Below are 20,318 nucleotides of genomic sequence, written 5' to 3'. Positions count from 1 at the left end.
AGACCAACCTCAAATAGACTAGCTGTGAGTTCTTCCAATTCCTGTCCAAGTTGATCTCGCACTTTTGAAAGCCTCTCACATTCTTCATCTTTTAACTTCAGTTCCTAAGAGAAATTGATAATTTTATTTTGGATCTCCATAGTTTGAAGTTAGATTCAGCAGACTATATAATCTTTACTAATAAAATTATAAAATATGAATACTGTCACTTCTGACAATGTTCACATTGAAAGTATTTATCTAGCACCTGCTATGTGGAAGACAATCAGGCAAGTCCAAAATTACAGAAAATCCCAACTAACAAATTAAATTTTCACATTTCTTTCATAAAATATCCAAAAATTAAAAATATACATTATATATATAAACTATATATAATATATATTACAGGTGAAAATAAACAAAATGACTTCTTTTTTTCCTTTAACTTTTTGCTATACATATTTATTTCCATCAAGTAAGGAATTTAATTATGCATATTTCAATAAAAATACACTTTTTTTATGTTTACTTTAAAAGCTATTTACTTATAGGTAACTTCATGTACCATACTGCAACTAACCTAAAATATCTATTAGGAGACTATATCCATTAAACAATGTAACCAGATATAAATGATGCATATTTGCATTTAAAATCAAGAAAAACGTTACCAAAAATCACATTCTACATTTATATTCAACTCCTCACCAGTTCACATATAGATGTTTTAAAATTCCTTTATTCAGCTATTAAGCATATGCAATTTTGTATGCTTAAGTAGCCCTAAACTAATCTTTCAAACATAGGGGGGGAGAATCTAAGCTCCTTACATATTAGTCACAATTAAACTAATAAAATAATGAGTTAGTGGTGTTATAATTGTGGTGGCAGTATAGTCTTTTAATCCCCCAAAGATAACTCCTAAAAACCAGATATACCAACAGGGATATGAGAAGATCTCAATGAAACTAAGTAAAAGAGAATCTCCATAATTCTCAGAATACTAAGAGAATGTGGATAAACTGCTCACAATGCATGATCACCAGATGTACAAAAGCAGCAGGAAATTAAAGCTACAACAGAGGTACCCTACAAAGCAACAAAACCCAAAAATCACCAAGAAATACTCCACAAGCACAGGACTCTATCTTTGGAGAAAACTCGGAGAGCAAATCTAAGAATAAACGGAGAGAAAGCAAAAGGTTTTCACAGGCTCCAACTTGCAGGTGACTGCAAAAACCTGTATAGTCAGTCCTATAGGCAGCAAAGAGTGCTACGAAGCTCTAAACCCTCAAACATCTTAGAGGAGTACGTAACAAAGAGCCCTCACCAGAAGGACGGAGTCTCACCCTAAGGGGAAAAAAACTCGGAAGTCTCAAACAAAACTGCAGGGCAATGAAGACAGGGAGAAGGAAGGATAAGATATAAAGAGGGAAGGGAGTGGCAAAGTTCCAAAGGAAACAGTTGACAGAAAATACTAGAGAGAGAAAATAAGTATCCTATGATGGGATGCTAAGCATGTAAAGCTCTCAGAAACAGTGCGCTGGAAAAGAAAAACCTTTTTGACCAAGGATTACCTACGAGACAAAGGAGCTACACACACACTCCAAAAACAACAGAGGAGAAAGACCTTCAAATGTAAACTGATAAAGCTATCCTGATTTATTCTTTCATAGGAATCTCTTCCTAATAGTCCAGGGAAATCCAGATCATTTAAACATGGGAAACAAAAATATGTAAAGTTATCACAATAATAAAGTTAAATACAAAGCCAAGTCACCTACAAGGGAAAGAAAATCAGACTGGTACCGAATTTCAACAGCAACATTTATGTTAGAAAACAATGAAGTAACATTTTTAAGTTACTCAAAGAAAAAAATGTGAGCTGAGTATTTTATAGCCAGCCAAAGTGTCCTTCAAGTGTACGACCACAAAGTCATAAACCTGTAAGACCTTAGAAAATCTCTCTCCTATGAGCTTGCCTGAGTGGACCAGAGAATGTTTCAGATTAAAAAAACAAAAAAAAACAAAACAAAAAAACTGGATAAGCTGTAACATGATGGACTGGGGTAAGAAGAAAATACATCTAACTTTAGAACTAAAACTAAAAGATGGGAATATCAAGAGAATGAGAAGACAAGACACAAATTGGGAAAAAAATATTTGCAAATGACCTATGTGATAAACTACTGTTATCCAAAATATACAAAGAACATTTAAAATCCAACAGTGAGAAAAGAACGACCCAATTAAAAACTGGGCAAATGACCAAAACAGACACTTCACCAGAGAAGGCAGATACACAGATGACAAACAAGCATGTGAAATGATGATCAACATCATATCTTATTAAGGAACCACTAATTAAAACAATGAGATGGCTGGGTGCAGTGGCTCATGCCTGTAATCTCAGCACTTTGGGAGGCTGAGGTGGGCGGATCACGAGGTCAGGAGTTCGAGACCAGCTTGATCAACATGGTGAAACCCCGTCTCTACTAAAAATACAAAAATTAGCCACGCATGGTGGCGCGTGCCTGTAATCCCACCTACTCAGAAGCCTGAGGCAGGAGAATCACTTGAACCCGGGAGGTGGAGATTGCAGTGAGCCGAGATCGCGCCACTGCACTCCAGCCTGGGCGATAGAGCGAGACTCGATCTCAAAAAGAAAAAACAGAACAAAAAAACAATGAGATACCCTGCATACCTACTAGAATGGCCAAAACTCAGAACACGAGTTAGTGGTGTTGTAACTGTGGTGGTAATATAGTTTTTTAATCCCCCAAAGGGGGATTAAAACTGGTAATATCAAATGCTAAAGAGAATGTGAACAAATAGGAACTCTAATTTATTGCTAGTGACAATGCAAAATGGGAAAGCTACTTTGGAAGATAGTTTGGCAATTTCTTACAAAGCTAACCATACTCTTATCATGGGATCCAGCGATCACACTTGTTGGTATTTGCCTAAATTAGTCAAACACATGTCCACACAAAAACCTGCAAACACATATTTACAGCAGCTTTATTCACTCATAACTGCCCAAACTTAGAAGCAGCAGATGGCCTTTACTAGGTGAATGAATACACTGTGGTACATCCAGACAGTGAAATATCATTTTGTGCTAAAAGAAAATGAACTAACAAGCCATGAAAAGACATAAAAGAAGATTAAATGCACATTACTAAGTGAAAGAAGCCAATCTGAAAAGGCTACACACTATATGATTCCAACTCTATGACAATCTGGAAAAGGTAAGACTACAGAGATGTTAAAAAGATCAGTGGTTGCCAGGGTTTTTAGGGAGGAAGGGATGAGCAGGCAGAGTAAAGAGGATTTTTAGGTCAGTGAAACTATTCTGTAAGATACTATCATGGTAGACACATGCCATTATACCTTCATCAAAATCCACAGCATGTACAACACCAAGAGTAAACCCTAATGTAAACTATGAACTTTGGGAGACAATGTGTCAATGGAGGTGTATTAATTTTAAGAAATGTACCACTCTGGTAGGGAATGCTAACGGGGGGGATGCTGTGCGTGTGTGGAGACAGCAAGTACATGGGGACTCTGTACTTTCAATTTTGCTGTGAACCTAAAACTGCTCTAAAAACTGCTCTAAAAGTGTCAATTTTTTAAAAATGGAGATAAAACTGACAAAATGGTATAAAAATGATATAAGCTCAAGGGATGTAAAATAACACATATTATTTTTAAAAACCAAAAAAATTATAAGAAAGGTGAAACTAAGTGTACTAACTTCTTAAGTATTACTTGGAAAAAGAGTTACAACTTGAAGCTCTCAAATCAACTGGGATAAACCCAAGTACATTTATGAACACAGTGATTGGCATTAAGATAATACTTGTAACTAAAATCAAATGATACAGGAAAAGGGAAGAGACAGTTTAGTATTGTTTATGGCAGGAAACAAAGGTAGTATATAAAGAACTTTTAAGATATATAAATGCATTTGATTAAAAATAACAAAACAAAAATCAAACCTTCCAAAATACTAATTAAAAAAAAAAAAGATTTAGGAGGAATCAAGCACACTAGTGCCTAGGCAGCAAGCTTCATCTGCCCACTGACATTGGTCTTGGCAGCAGACCTGAAAGTTACCCTGTAAATTGGCTCCAACCCTTCTGCTACCCAGCCATGGGCCCAGTTTATTACTGCTTGCACAAGGACCCAGAAGAAGATTTACCCATATCCCACAACCCAGGAATGATTTGTCTGTCTGAGCCTCCTTGAAGGACCTGTCAGCCTTTGTCCCAAAGCAGGTCCTAAAGGATCCCACTCTCTACTCTAGCCTCTCTCACTACAGTCAGGGAAATGCCCCACCTGTGCAGGGAGCTTCTAGGGGAAGCTTGCCTGCCTGGGCTACCCTGGTGGGTTTGCCAGCCTCTGTCCCACAGCAGTGAAGGGGCCCAGACTCGGCTCCAGCCCCTCTCCCTGCAGTTGGTAAACTGTCCCATCCATGCAGGAAATTACTGGGAAGCATGGATGTAGGCCACTGGTGCAAGCTCACCAGCCTCCATCCTACAGCAGAGTGTAAGGGGTCCCAGTCTCAGCTCCAGTTCCTTTTGCTACAGTTGGGGAACTATCCCATCTGTGCAGGGAATTGCGGGGAAACATGCATCTGTCTAAGCAAATGGGACAGGCTTCCAGGTTCGGGTCGTTGGCCAACTTCCTCACAGTCAGGGTACCCCTACCTTGAGTCATCATTAGGTATATCCTGGCTGGAGCACCATGTCATCTTCGTGGTAAAAATGGGCTTAAGGCGCCCTCTACCGCTGAAATGGCTGCAGCAGTCACAGGCTTGACAACAGCCAGTCTTAGATCTCTAGATAGGCCCACTGAAGGATGGGCACAAAGTCACACTGCAAAGACTTGAATAAATAACTAATTCGTTAATAAGCAGACATCAGTGTACATCCACAAGCATTCAGAACAATCAGGGAACTATGACCTCACCAAAGAGACAAAATAAGGTACCAATAACAGACCCTAAAAAGATGGAGATGTGTGATCTGTCAGAATAAAAATCAAACTAGCTGTGTTAAGGATCATCAGTGAACTTCAAGAAAATACAGATAAACAATTCAGAAATTTATCAGAAAAATTTAAGAGAGACGCTGGAAAAAAAAAAAAAAATTCCCTAGCTAGAATGTGCAGTGAAAGCAGTGAAAAATGCAATAGAGCTTCAACAACAGAATTAACCAAGCGAAGAAACGATGAGTGAGCTCAAAGGCAGGATAAGTGAAAAATATACAGGTAGAGAAGAAAAAAAAAAAGACTAAAGAGGAATGAAGAAAGCTTACAAGATCTATGGGATAGCATCAAAAGAGAAAATGTTCGAGTAATTGGAGTTCAAGAGGGAATAAAGAAAGACAAATGGGAGGAGGAGCCAAGATGGCCGAATAGGAACAGCTCCGGTCTACAGCTACCAGCGTGAGCGACGCAGAAGACGGGTGATTTCTGCATTTCCATCTGAGGTACCGGGTTCATCTCACTAGGGAGTGCCAGACAGTGGGCGCAGGCCAGTGTGTGTGCGCACCGTGCGCGAGCCGAAGCAGGGCGAGGCATTGCCTCACCTGGGAAGCGCAAGGGGTCAGGGAGTTCCCTTTCCGAGTCAAAGAAAGGGGTGACGGACGCACCTGGAAAATCGGGTCACTCCCATCCGAATATTGCGCTTTTCAGACCGGCTTAAGAAACGGCGCACCACGAGACTATATCCCACACCTGGCTCAGAGGGTCCTACGCCCACGGAATCTCGCTGATTGCTAGCACAGCAGTCTGAGATCAAACTGCAAGGCGGCAACGAGGCTGGGGGAGGGACGCCCGCCATTGCCCAGGCTTGCTTAGGTAAACAAAGCAGCCGGGAAGCTCGAACTGGGTGGAGCCCACCACAGCTCAAGGAGGCCTGCCTGCCTCTGTAGGCTCCACCTCTGGGGGCAGGGCACAGACAAACAAAAAGACAGCAGTAACCTCTGCAGACTTAAGTGTCCCTGTCTGACAGCTTTGAAGAGAGCAGTGGTTCTCCCAGCACGCAGCTGGAGATCTGAGAACGGGCAGACTGCCTCCTCAAGTGGGTCCCTGACCCCTGACCCCCGAGCAGCCTAACTGGGAGGCACCCCCCAGCAGGGGCACACTGACACCTCACACGGCAGGGTATTCCAACAGACCTGCAGCTGAGGGTCCTGTCTGTTAGAAGGAAAACTAACAAACAGAAAGGACATCTACACCGAAAACCCATCTGTACATCACCATCATCAAAGACCAAAAGTAGATAAAACCACAAAGATGGGGAAAAAACAGTACAGAAAAACTGGAAACTCTAAAAATCAGAGCGCCTCTCCTCCTCCAAAGGAACGCAGTTCCTCACCAGCAACAGAACAAAGCTGGATGGAGAATGATTTTGACGAGCTGAGAGAAGAAGGCTTCAGACGATCAAATTACTCTGAGCTACGGGAGGACATTCAAACCAAAGGCAAAGAAGTTGAAAACTTTGAAAAAAATTTAGAAGAATGTATAACTAGAATAACCAATACAGAGAAGTGCTTAAAGGAGCTGATGGAGCTGAAAACCAAGGCTCGAGAACTACGTGAAGAATGCAGAAGCCTCAGGAGCCGATGCGATCAACTGGAAGAAAGGGTATCAGCAATGGAAGATGAAATGAATGAAATGAAGGGAGAAGGGAAGTTTAGAGAAAAAAGAATAAAAAGAAATGAGCAAAGCCTCCAAGAAATATGGGACTATGTGAAAAGACCAAATCTACGTCTGATTGGTGTACCTGAAAGTGATGTGGAGAATGGAACCAAGTTGGAAAACACTCTGCAGGATATTATCCAGGAGAACTTCCCCAATCTAGCAAGGCAGGCCAACGTTCAGATTCAGGAAATACAGAGAACGCCACAAAGATACTCCTCGAGAAGAGCAACTCCAAGACACATAATTGTCAGATTCACCAAAGTTGAAATGAAGGAAAAAATGTTAAGGGCAGCCAGAGAGAAAGGTCGGGTTACCCTCAAAGGAAAGCCCATCAGACTAACAGCGGATCTCTCGGCAGAAACCCTACAAGCCAGAAGAGAGTGGGGGCCAATATTCAACATTCTTAAAGAAAAGAATTTTCAACCCAGAATTTCATATCCAGCCAAACTAAGCTTCATAAGTGAAGGAGAAATAAAATACTTTATAGACAAGCAAATGCTGAGAGATTTTGTCACCACCAGGCCTGCCCTAAAAGAGCTCCTGAAGGAAGCGCTAAACATGGAAAGGAACAACCGGTACCAGCCGCTGCAAAATCATGCCAAAATGTAAAGACCATCGAGACTAGGAAGAAACTGCATCAACTAATGAGCAAAATCACCAGCTAACATCATAATGACAGGATCAAATTCACACATAACAATATTAACTTTAAATATAAATGGACTAAATTCTGCAATTAAAAGACACAGACTGGCAAGTTGGATAAAGAGTCAAGACCCATCAGTGTGCTGTATTCAGGAAACCCATCTCACGTGCAGAGACACACATAGGCTCAAAATAAAAGGATGGAGGAAGATCTACCAAGCCAATGGAAAACAAAAAAAGGCAGGGGTTGCAATCCTAGTCTCTGATAAAACAGACTTTAAACCAACAAAGATCAAAAGAGACAAAGAAGGCCATTACATAATGGTAAAGGGATCAATTCAACAAGAGGAGCTAACTATCCTAAATATTTATGCACCCAATACAGGAGCACCCAGATTCATAAAGCAAGTCCTCAGTGACCTACAAAGAGACTTAGACTCCCACACATTAATAATGGGAGACTTTAACACCCCACTGTCAACATTAGACAGATCAACGAGACAGAAAGTCAACAAGGATACCCAGGAATTGAACTCAGCTCTGCACCAAGCAGACCTAATAGACATCTACAGAACTCTCCACCCCAAATCAACAGAATATACATTTTTTTCAGCACCACACCACACCTATTCCAAAATTGACCACATAGTTGGAAGTAAAGCTCTCCTCAGCAAATGTAAAAGAACAGAAATTATAACAAACTATCTCTCAGACCACAGTGCAATCAAACTAGAACTCAGGATTAAGAATCTCACTCAAAGCCGCTCAACTACATGGAAACTGAACAACCTGCTCCTGAATGACTACTGGGTACATAACGAAATGAAGGCAGAAATAAAGATGTTCTTTGAAACCAACGAGAACAAAGACACAACATACCAGAATCTCTGGGACGCATTCAAAGCAGTGTGTAGAGGAAAATTTATAGCACTGAATGCCCACAAGAGAAAGCAGGAAAGATCCAAAATTGACACCCTAACATCACAATTAAAAGAACTAGAAAAGCAAGAGCAAACACATTCAAAAGCTAGCAGAAGGCAAGAAATAACTAAAATCAGAGCAGAACTGAAGGAAATAGAGACACAAAAAACCCTTCAAAAAATCAATGAATCCAGGAGCTGGTTTTTTGAAAGGATCAACAAAATTGATAGACTGCTAGCAAGACTAATAAAGAAAAAAAGAGAGAAGAATCAAATAGACACAATAAAAAATGATAAAGGGGATATCACCACCGATCCCACAGAAATACAAACTACCATCAGAGAATACTACAAACACCTCTACGCAAATAAACTAGAAAATCTAGAAGAAATGGATACATTCCTCGACACATACACTCTCCCAAGACTAAACCAGGAAGAAGTTGAATCTCTGAATAGACCAATAACAGGCTCTGAAATTGTGGCAATAATCAATAGTTTACCAACCAAAAAGAGTCCAGGACCAGATGGATTCACAGCCGAATTCTACCAGAGGTACAAGGAGGAACTGGTACCATTCCTTCTGAAACTATTCCAATCAATAGAAAAAGAGGGAATCCTCCCTAACTCATTTTATGAGGCCACCATCATTCTGATACCAAAGCCGGGCAGAGACACAATCAAAAAAGAGAATTTTAGACCAATATCCTTGATGAACATTGATGCAAAAATCCTCAATAAAATACTGGCAAACCGAATCCAGCAGCACATCAAAAAGCTTATCCACCATGATCAAGTGGGCTTCATCCCTGGGATGCAAGGCTGGTTCAATATACGCAAATCAATAAATGTAATCCAGCATATAAACAGAGCCAAAGACAAAAACCACATGATTATCTCAATAGATGCAGAAAAAGCCTTTGACAAAATTCAACAACCCTTCATGCTAAAAACTCTCAATAAATTAGGTATTGATGGGACGTATTTCAAAATAATAAGAGCTATCTATGACAAACCCACAGCCAATATCATACTGAATGGGCAAAAACTGGAAGCATTCCCTTTGAAAACTGGCACAAGACAGGGATGCCCTCTCTCACCGCTCCTATTCAACATAGTGTTGGAAGTTCTGGCCAGGGCAATCAGGCAGAAGAAGGAAATAAAGGGTATTCAATTAGGAAAAGAGGAAGTCAAATTGTCCCTGTTTGCAGATGACATGATTGTTTATCTAGAAAACACCATCGTCTCAGCCCAAAATCTCCTTAAGCTGATAAGCAACTTCAGCAAAGTCTCAGGATACAAAATCAATGTACAAAAATCACAAGCATTCTTATACACCAACAACAGACAAACAGAGAGCCAAATCATGGGTGAACTCCCATTCACAATTGCTTCAAAGAGAATAAAATACCTAGGAATCCAACTTACAAGGGATGTGAAGGACCTCTTCAAGGAGAACTACAAACCACTGCTCAAGGAAATAAAAGAGAACACAAACAAATGGAAGAACATTCCATCTCATGGGTAGGAAGAATCAATATCATGAAAATGGCCATACTGCCCAAGGTAATTTACAGATTCAATGCCATCCCCATCAAGCTACCAATGACTTTCTTCACAGAATTGGAAAAAACTACTTTAAAGTTCATATGGAACCAAAAAAGAGCCCGCATTGCCAAGTCAATCCTAAGCCAAAAGAACAAAGCTGGAGGCATCACACTACCTGACTTCAAACTATACTACAAGGCTACAGTAACCAAAACAGCATGGTACTGGTACCAAAACAGAGATATAGATCAATGGAACAGAACAGAGCCCTCAGAAATAATGCCACATATCTACAACTATCTGATCTTTGACAAACCTGAGAAAAACAAGCAATGGGGAAAGGATTCCCTATTTAATAAATGGTGCTGGGAAAACTGGCTAGCCATATGTAGAAAGCTGAAACTGGATCCCTTCCTTACACCTTATACAAAAATCAATTCAAGATGGATTAAAGATTTAAACGTTAAACCTAAAACCATAAAAACCCTAGAAGAAAACCTAGGCATTACCATTCAGGACATAGGCGTGGGCAAGGACTTCATGTCCAAAACACCAAAAGCAATGGCAACAAAAGACAAAATTGACAAATGGGATCTAATTAAACTAAAGAGCTTCTGCACAGCAAAAGAAACTACCATCAGAGTGAACAGGCAACCTACAACATGGGAGAAAATTTTCGCAACCTACTCATCTGACAAAGGGCTAATATCCAGAATCTACAATGAACTCAAACAAATTTACAAGAAAAAAACAAACAACCCCATCAAAAAGTGGGCAAAGGACATGAACAGACACTTCTCAAAAGAAGACATTTATGCAGCCAAAAAACACATGAAGAAATGCTCATCATCACTGGCCATCAGAGAAATGCAAATCAAAACCACTATGAGATATCATCTCACACCAGTTAGAATGGCAATCATTAAAAAGTCAGGAAACAACAGGTGCTGGAGAGGATGCGGAGAAATAGGAACACTTTTACACTGTTGGTGGGACTGTAAACTAGTTCAACCATTGTGGAAGTCAGTGTGGCGATTCCTCAGGGATCTAGAACTAGAAATACCATTTGACCCAGCCATCCCATTACTGGGTATATACCCAAATGAGTATAAATCATGCTGCTATAAAGACACATGCACACGTATGTTTATTGCGGCACTATTCACAATAGCAAAGACTTGGAACCAACCCAAATGTCCAACAATGATAGACTGGATTAAGAAAATGTGGCACATATACACCATGGAATACTATGCAGCCATAAAATATGATGAGTTCATATCCTTTGTAGGGACATGGATGAAATTGGAAACCATCATTCTCAGTAAACTATCACAAGAACAAAAAACCAAACACCGCATATTCTCACTCATAGGTGGGAATTGAACAATGAGATCACATGGACACAGGAAGGGGAATATCACACTCTGGGGACTGTGGTGGGGTCGGGGGAGGGGGAAGGGATAGCATTGGGAGATATACCTAATGCTAGATGACACATTAGTGGGTGCAGCACACCAGCATGGCACATGTATACATATGTAACTAACCTGCACAATGTGCACATGTACCCTAAAACTTAGAGTATAATAAAAAAAAAAAAAAAAAAAAAAAAGAAAGACAAATGGGTAGAAGGCGTATCCAAAAAAATAATAACAGAACATTTTCAAAACCTGAAGAAAAATAAAATCCAGATAAAGGAAAGTCAAAGATCACTAATCATATTCAACCTAAATAAGACTACCCCAAGGCATATTATAATCAAGCTCTCAAAGATCAAAGACAAGGAGGGGATTCTGAAAGCAGCAAGAGAAAAGAAGCAAGTTAACATACAAAAGAATTCCAATATGCCTGGCACCAAACTTCTCAGCAAGAACCTTGCAGATCAGGAGGAAGTAGGAGAATATATTCAGAAAGCTGAAGGAAAAAACAAACAAAAACACCAAGAATACTGTACCCAGCAAAGCCATCTTTCAGAAATGAAGATTAAAAGTTTCCCAGAAAAACAAAAGCTGAAGGAATTCAATACCATCAGAATTATCTTACAAGAAATGCTAAAGGGATTTCTTCAATCTGAAAGAAAAGAATGCTAACATGTAACAAAGAAACTCCTGAAGGTATAAAAATTACTGGCACAAGTCAGTAAACAGACAAATTCAGAATACTCTAATATTGTAATAGTAGTATATTAACCACTCCTATCTTTAGTTATTAAGACTAAAAGACAAAACTATTAAAAATAAGAACTGTAATACTTTGTTAAGAGAGAGACAATACACAAAGATATAAATTGTAACATCAAAAATTCAAAATGTGGGAAAAGAATGGAGTTACAGTGTACGTTTTCTTTCTTTTCTTTGAGATCAAAATTAAGTTGTTAGCAGTTTAAAATAACTGGTTATGTTTTTTGTAAGCCTCATGGTAACCACAAAGCAAAATCCTACAATAGATACACTAAAAGTAAAAGGCAAGGTGTCAAAACATATTACTAGAGAAAATCACTTAACCACAAAGGAAGACAGTCAGAGTGGAAGGAAGGATCTACAAAACAACTATAAAAGAAGTACCAAAATTGCAGTAGTATGTCTTTACTTATTAATAATTATGTTGAATGTAAACAGATTAAAATCTCCAATAAGAGACGGAGTGACTGAATGAATTTAAAAAACAAGACCCAACTCCATGCTGCCTGCCTACAAGAGACTCAAATCCTCTGTAAGGACATACAGAGACTGAAAGGGAAAACATTCAATGCAAATTGAAAAACAAGAGAAAGCAGGAGTAGCTACCTATACTTATATTAGATAAAACAGACTTTAAGCCAAAAATTGTAAGAAGAAACAAGAGTATTATGTAATGATAAGGGGGCCAATAAAGAGGATATAATAATTGTAAATATATATGCACCTTACATTGGAGCAAATATTAATAGACATAAAAGGATAGACTGTCATACAATAACAGTAAGGAAATTCAGTACTCACTCACTCCCAGAAACGGAAACAACTCAATGGCAAAAATACAAATAACATAATTTTAAAATGGGCAAAAGACCTGAATAAACATTTCTCAGAAGACATACAAATGGCCAACAGGTATATGAAAAAATGCTCAGCATCATTAATAATTAAGGGACTACAAATCAAAACCACCATGAGGTATCATCTCAACCCACTTAGAATGGCTATCATCAAAATGATGAAAAATAACAAACACTGAGGAGGATGTGGAGAAAGGAAATCTTTCATACAGTGTTGGTGGTAATATAAATTAGTACAGCCATTACAGACAACAGTATGGAGGTTCTCCCAAAAATTAAAAATAGAATATCCAGCAATTCCACTACTGGGAATAAAATTCACAGAAAAGTAAATCAGTATGTCAAAGAGACAGCTGCACTCCCAAGTTTACCGCAGCACTATTCTCAAAAGCTAAGACATGGAATTAACCTAAGTGTTCATCAGTGAATGAACTTTTTTTTTTTTTTGGAGACAGGGTCTCACTCTGTCACCCAGGCTGGAGTGCAGTGACATGATCACAGCTCACTGCAGCCTCAACCACAGAAGCTCAAGCAATCCTCCCACCTCAGCTTTCCAAGTAGCTGGGAACACAGGCATGCACCACCATGTCTGATTAATTTATTTTTTGCAGAAATGGCATCTCGCTATGTTGCCTAGGCTGGTCTTGAAGGCCTGTGGTCAAGCCATCCTCCCACTTTGGCCTTCCAAAGTGCTGGGATTACAGGCATAAGCCACTACGCCCTGCTGGATTATTTTAAATGCAGTGTATATACAAAATGAAATACTATTCAGCCATAAACAAGAATGAAATCCTGTCATTTGTCACAATATGGGTAAGCCTAGAGGACATCATGTTAAGTGAAATAAACCAAGTACAGAAGGACAAATATTGCATGATCTCACTCATATGTGAAATCTAAAAAATTTGATCTCATAGAAGTAGAGCAGAGAATAGCGGTTATCAAAAGCTGGGAAGAGTAGGGAGGAGTAGAATGAGGAGAGGTTGGTAAAACAGATGAGAAGTTAGTTTAAATGGGAGAAATAAGTTCTGGTGTTCTATTGCACAGCAGGGTCAACAGTTAATAATCTATTATATATTGCAAAATAGAAGAGATTTTTAATGTCTCATCACAAAGAAACAATAAATATTTGAGGTGATGGCAATGCTAATTAGTCTGATTTGATCATTATACAATGTGTGTGTGTATATATGTATATGTGTATGTGTAAATATACACCATACTGTGTTGCATAAATATATAAAATTACTACCTGTCAGTTAAAAATCAAACTTTTTTTTAAATGGTAACTTGGACATTATGGCTAGGTTAAAAAAAAGACTGGAAAGAAACAAAACTAATCACTGCAGTATTTCAAGCAAGAGATATGGATTCAGAGTGGTAATACTGGAGACAAGAAATTTGAGAGATACAGTTGGCCCTCTGTGTACACAGGTTCTGCATCAGCAGGTTCCATCTGCATATTCACCAAACCACAGATCAAAATGTTGAGAAAAAACAATAAAAATACAAATTTGTATAAGACAATACAGTATAACAACTATTTACACAGCATTTATATTATATTAGGTATTATAAGTAATGTAGAGATGATTTAAAGTATACAGGAGAATGTGCATAGGTTATATGCAAACACTATGCAATTGAGGATCTATCGATTTTGGAATCCCCGGCAGGGTGGGGGGGCGGATTTGGAGGACTGGAACAAAACCCCCAGTGGATACCAAGGGATGAGTATATTTACAACTCTATAATCAAGTGTATTTCATCAAATCCAAGACTTCATCATTTTTTAGAAAAAATTTTAGACATTAAAAATATGTTATTAATGAATCTATAATGTTCTTTTTTCCAACTGGAATTTTTATTTTAAACTTATAGGAAGACTCTCTTAAACTGATGAAGACATAGACTTTTATCATATGTAACTGTGCTTTTTTGTGCCTTTCTGTTTTGATGTCATATCACAGTGAGATCCTTTTGAAGATATTTAATTCGGTAATTAAGATCACAAATACGGAACCCAACTCACATAATTCAATTAAATTTATAACACAGCTATGACAAGTTCACACACAAGAAGGCAATGATAAATGTCATGATTAATGTCTAGCTGACTATAATTTTGACTTTTACTGATTTCAGAGATGTTAGTTGAAAAAAATGTACAACTCAGAATCAATGAAACATCACCATAAAATACATGCTACTTCTCCCCAACTAGTAAACTCCTTAAAGAGAGACATATCTATATTATTTTTGCCCCCTACACAACCTACTGTAATGCTGTTGAGTACTTTGGTTATTCAATAAATATTTGTTTCTGGTTTTCTGCTTCCCCATGATGGTAGATTAGAGGATTTGGGCATGCCTTGGCCACTTGGAAGTCACAAGATAAGGCATAAAAGGAAAACAGCAATCCACCAGAATCACAAAAGACACCCCAGATACCAGGGAGGAGAATGCTGACAAACAGCCCCCGTGATAGTGTCTGGCTGATAAAAGTGAGTGAAGTCCCAGTAGGTGAGAGAGGCAGAGAACTTCCCTCTGTGATTCACCTGTCCACTGGGGTTCCCTATCCTGGCTGAAGGAGAGCACTTTGTTTCTCCCAATCCCTGGAGTTAACTTGGAGAGAGGCTTGGAGATGCTATGAAGGAAAGACACTGGGAAAAGCTGCAGACATGTTCCCAAATCCAGGACCAAAAGCAGAATGCCATTTTTAATCTGGGCACGTATTAGTCTGTTTTCATGCTGCTGATAAAGACATACCCAAGACTGGGCAATTTATGAAAGAAAGAGGTTTAACGGACTTACAGTTCCCACATTGCTGAGGAGGCTTACAATCACGGCAGAAGGCGAAATACACATCTAACATGGTGGCAGACAACAGAAGAGAGATTGAGCAGGGAAACTACCCCCCATAAAACCATCAGACCTCATACTTATTCAGTATCAGGAGAACAGCCCAGGAAAGACCTGACCCCATGATTCAATTACCTCCCACAGGGTCCCTCCCACAACACATGGGAATTCAAGATGAGATTTGGGTGGGGACACAGCCAAACCCTATCAGGGTACATACGAAGTCAGCCATTCTTTGACAACCTGGCAACATGGCCATTCATGCATTTTAGTCTTAGGACAGAGATTGGAGCACCTGTTTTAGAGTGAGGTCAGGGCCTCCACAAGCAGAACTGTGGAAAGTACTGGAGTAGTAGACACTGGAATTGTACTCTTCCCTGTCACAGGGTTGGGGCAGGAGGAGAACTATTACCACAGCAGTTTCTCCTGGGCAGCAAGGCTTGCAGCCAGGGCCAGTTTGGCAACATGAACTGATCTGCGTGAGACACTGCTGGGTGCCTCAGTCTGTTCCTGAGATCGCGGTGCAGTGGAGTCCTCTCACTCCACCCCAGGGAGAAATCCAGGCATTCAGAGCACCCACCTGCCTGGCCCAGCAGCCTGAGCAGCCCCACCTTTCCTGGGCATACACTGTAGCATAGCAGGGCCTTCTCTGCTCCATTCCCAGGAAGATCTCCAAGCATTTGGAGCACCTACTTTTCTTGACCAGCAGCCTGCACCACCTCACCCGTCATGGACATAGATTGTGGTGCAGCAGAGCTCTCTCCACTCCATATCCAGGCAGATCTCCAGGTATTTGGAGCACCCACTCACCTGAATCAGTAGCCTGAACCACCCTACCCTTTCCTGGACATAGACTGTGGTACAGCAAGACCCTCTCTGGTCCATGCCCAGGCAGATCTCCAGGCATTCAGAGTGCCTGTGCATCTGGTTCAGCAGGCTGAGCTGGCACCATCCTTACTGGATGCAGATCACGGTACAGTGAGGTCCTCTCCACTACACACCCAAGCAGATCTGCAGACATTCAGGGAACCAGCTTGCTGGATCAGAAGCTTGAGCTGCTCCACCACCCTTCCTGTGCAGATATCCTGGTGGAGGGGTTCCCTTTCTGTTAAATGCCCAAGCAGATCTCCAGGCATTCAAAGCACCTGTTTGTCTGGTTCAGGAGCATGAGTAACCTCACCCCTCTTGTGCAGAAATCTTGGTGAAAGGGGGTCTTCTCCACTTCACACTGAGGCAGATCTCCAGGCATTCAGAGATCCCACTCACCTGAATCAGCAGTCTGAGCCACCCCAACCTTCCTGTGCAGAGATCCTGGGGCAGGCAGGTTCTGTCACATGCCCAGGCAGATCTCCAGGCATTCAAAGCACCTGTATGCTTGGTTTGGCAGCCTGAGTTGCCTCACTCCTCCTGTGCAGAGGCCTTGGTATAGGGGGGTCCTCTCTGCTCCACGCCCAGGCAGACCTCCAGGCACCTGGAGCACCAACTCTCTTAGATCAAGAATTTAGGCTACTCCGACTCCCATGCAGAGAACTTAGGGCTGAAGGGGATTCCCAGCTCCATGCCTAGGCACACTTCTGGGTACTTGGTGGCCGCCCATTGGATTCACCGTCAGCACTGGTGTTTGTGCTTGCCATGAGTGAACCTTTGGCAGATTTGCCCAGTCGTTCTCACCAATCATGGCCCCATCCCCCTGGAGCTGAGCAGGGAGCTCAGACCACTGCCTGAGGCAACAGAGTTTCTACCATTAAACAAGTATATACCCAGCAGCATTGGCTACAGCTGACTCTTATCAATAAGCATGGCCTACTGACTTGTAGGTCAAATGCACAGCCCAATATAAAACCTGCTGAAAGAAGTGCACAGAACTATAGAAGCAAAACCAAAAGATCCTACCCAGAATTCTCTACAGTCACACCCCAATAGGGAGGAAAAGAAAGGAAAAGAAAAAAACAATTATAGGGAAGAAAAAAAATCCTACTCACATGAAATTAATTACAAAAATTAGAAGTGCAATCATCTCCAGATGAGGAGAAACCAGTGGAAGAATTCTGGCATGATGAAAAATCTAAATGTAGTAACACCACCAAGGGATAGCACTAGCTCTCCAGCAACAGTTCTTAACTAAAATGTGAACTCAGAAATGACAGATAAAGAATTCAAAACATGAATTGCAAGGAAGATCAATGAGATCCAAGACAGAGTTGACAATCAACATAGAAGAAACTTCTAAAGCAATCCAGGAAATAAAAGAAGAAATAAACATATTCAAAAGAAATCAGAGGTTCTGCACCGGGCATGGTGGCTCATGCCTGTAATCCCAGCACTTTGGGAGGCCGAAGTGGGTGGATCACCTGAGGTCAGGAGTTCAAGACCAGCCTGGCCAACATGGTGAAACCCCATCTCAACTGAAAATACAAAAAAAAAATAGCTGGGCATGGTGGCAGGCGCCTGTAATCCCAGCTACTTCGGGAGACTGAGGCAGGAGAATCACTTGAACCTGGGAAGCGGAGGTTGCAGTGAGCCGAGATGGTGCCATTGCACTCCAGCCTGGGTGACAAGAGTGAAACTGTCTTAAAAAAAAAAAGAAAAGAAAAGAAAAAGAAATCAGAGTTTCTGGAACCAAAAAACTGACGTAAGGAATTTGAAAATACAATTGAAAGCTTTAGCAACAGATGGGACCGAACAGAAAAAAGAATTTCAGGGCTTGAAAAATGGTCTTTGGAATTAACCTGGTCAAACAAAAATAAAGAGAAAATAATTTTAAAAAATGAACAAAGTCGTTGAGAAATATGGGATTACATAAAAGAAACAAACCTATGAATTATTGGCATTCCTAAGAAGAAGAAAAAGTAAACAACCTGGAAAACATATTTGAGGGAGTAATTCAAGAAAATTTCCCTAACCTTGCTAGAAAGGTAAACACCCAGATACAAAAAATCTAGAGAACTGCAAGATACTATCCAAAATGAAGATCGTCACAGGACATAGTCACCAGACTGTCCAAGGTCAATGCAAAACACAACAAAACAAACAAAAATACTTAAAGGCTGAGAAAAAGGTTAGATTACATAATCACATACAAATGGAGCCATACCAGGCTTTGGACTTCTCAGCAGAAACCTTACAAGCCAGGATAGATTGGGGACCTATTTCCAGCATTCTGAAAGAAAAGAAATTCTAACCAAGAATTTCATATCCTGTCAAACTAAGCTTCATAAGCAAAGGAGAAATAAAATATTTTCCAGACAAGCAACTGCTAAGGGAATTCATTACCACTAGACTAGCCTTACAAGATACCCTTAAGAGAGTTCTAAACATAGAAACAAAAGAATGATACCTGCTACCACAAAAATTAGAGATCCTCTCTGCCACATGCCCAGGCAGATCTCCATGCATTCAAAGCACCTGCATGCTTCGTTCGGCAGCCTGAGTTGCCTCACTCCTCCTGTGCAGAGGCTTTGATATAGGCGGGTCCTCTCTGCTCCATGCTCAGGCAGACCTCCTGGTCACACTTAAGTACACAGGCCAATATCCCTGGTGAACACAGATTCAAAAATCCTCAACAAAATACTACCAAACTGATTCCAACAGCACATCAAAAAGTTAATTCATTATGATCAAGTAGGCTTTATTCCTGGGATGCAAGACTGGTTCAATATACACAAGTCAATAAATGTGATTCACAACATAAATAGAATTAAAAACAAAAGCCATACGATCATCTCAACAGAGGTGGAAAAAGCTTTCAATAAGATCCAACATCCTTTCACGATAAAAACGCTAAAGAAATTAGGCATCAAAGAAATGTACCTCAAAATAATAAGAGCCATCTATGACAAACCCACAGCCAACATCATACTGAATGGACAAAAATTGGAAGGCTTCCCCAAGAACTGGAACAAGACGACGATGCCCACTCTCACCATTCCTATTCAACATAGTACTGGAAGTGTTAGCCAGAGGAATCCAGCAAGAGAAAAAAGTAAAAGGCAACCAAACATGAAAAGAAAAAGTCAAATTACCTCTCCTACAGACTATATGATTTTATACCTGAAGAACCATAAAGACTCTTCCAAAAGGTTCCTGGAACTGATAAATGACTCCAGTAAAGTTTCCAGATACAAAGTCAATGTACAAAATTCAGCAGCATTTGTATACACCAATAACATTCAAGGTGAGAGCAAATCAAGAACACAATCTCATTTACAATAACCACACACACACACAAATACCTAGGAATACATCCAACCAAGGGGGTGAAAGATCTCTACAAAGAGAACTATAAAATACCGTTAAATCATAAATAACACAAAGAAATTTTAAAAATATTTCATGCTCATGGACTGGAAGAATCAACATTGTTAAAATGGCCATACTGCCCAAAGCAATCTACAGATTCAACGGTATTCCTATCAAACTACCAATGTTGTTTTTCACAGAACTAAAAAAAAAAAAAGTATTTAAAAACTCATATGGAACCACACAAGGGCCTGAATGGCCAAAGCAATCCTTTGAAAAAAGAAGTCAGAGGTACCATATTACTTGACTTCAATCTATTTTATAAGGTTACAGTAATCAAAACAGCATGGTGCTGGTACAAAAACAGA

General features: G+C 40.0%; 1 protein-coding gene across 16 annotated transcripts in view, besides 1 other annotated feature; it reads right to left on the bottom strand.

Annotated features, from left to right (window-relative positions):
* The window catches only part of RAB3IP (RAB3A interacting protein), an 84,963-nt gene that overhangs the window by 38,381 nt on the left and 26,264 nt on the right, over positions 1-20,318 (bottom strand). For 14 of the 16 annotated variants that reach the window (XR_007063038.1, XR_007063039.1, NR_103519.2 and 11 more), the window contains one exon: positions 9-104. Coding sequence is in view for 9 of the 16 variants with exons in the window: in XM_047428268.1 (XP_047284224.1) it covers positions 9-104 (96 nt within the window). In the remaining 7 variants the exon portion in view is untranslated. Of the gene's footprint in view, positions 1-8; positions 105-5,642; positions 5,873-20,318 lie in introns of those variants that run through there. The other 2 variants (NM_001024647.3, NM_001278402.1) reach the window with 2 other exon arrangements.
* Positions 2,358-2,527: an enhancer, noted in NCBI's record as "experimental_30842 CRE fragment used in MPRA reporter constructs". NCBI's record gives its function as "activates a minimal promoter by MPRAs in K562 erythroleukemia cells, with activity observed for both the introgressed and non-introgressed 12:70176162 variant alleles {active_cell/tissue: K562}" and the evidence as "EXISTENCE:reporter gene assay evidence [ECO:0000049][PMID:34662402]".

Source organism: Homo sapiens, chromosome 12, assembly GCF_000001405.40.
Source record: "Homo sapiens chromosome 12, GRCh38.p14 Primary Assembly".
NCBI lineage: Eukaryota > Metazoa > Chordata > Mammalia > Primates > Hominidae > Homo > Homo sapiens.
This window is presented reverse-complemented; position numbering and strand designations above follow the sequence as displayed.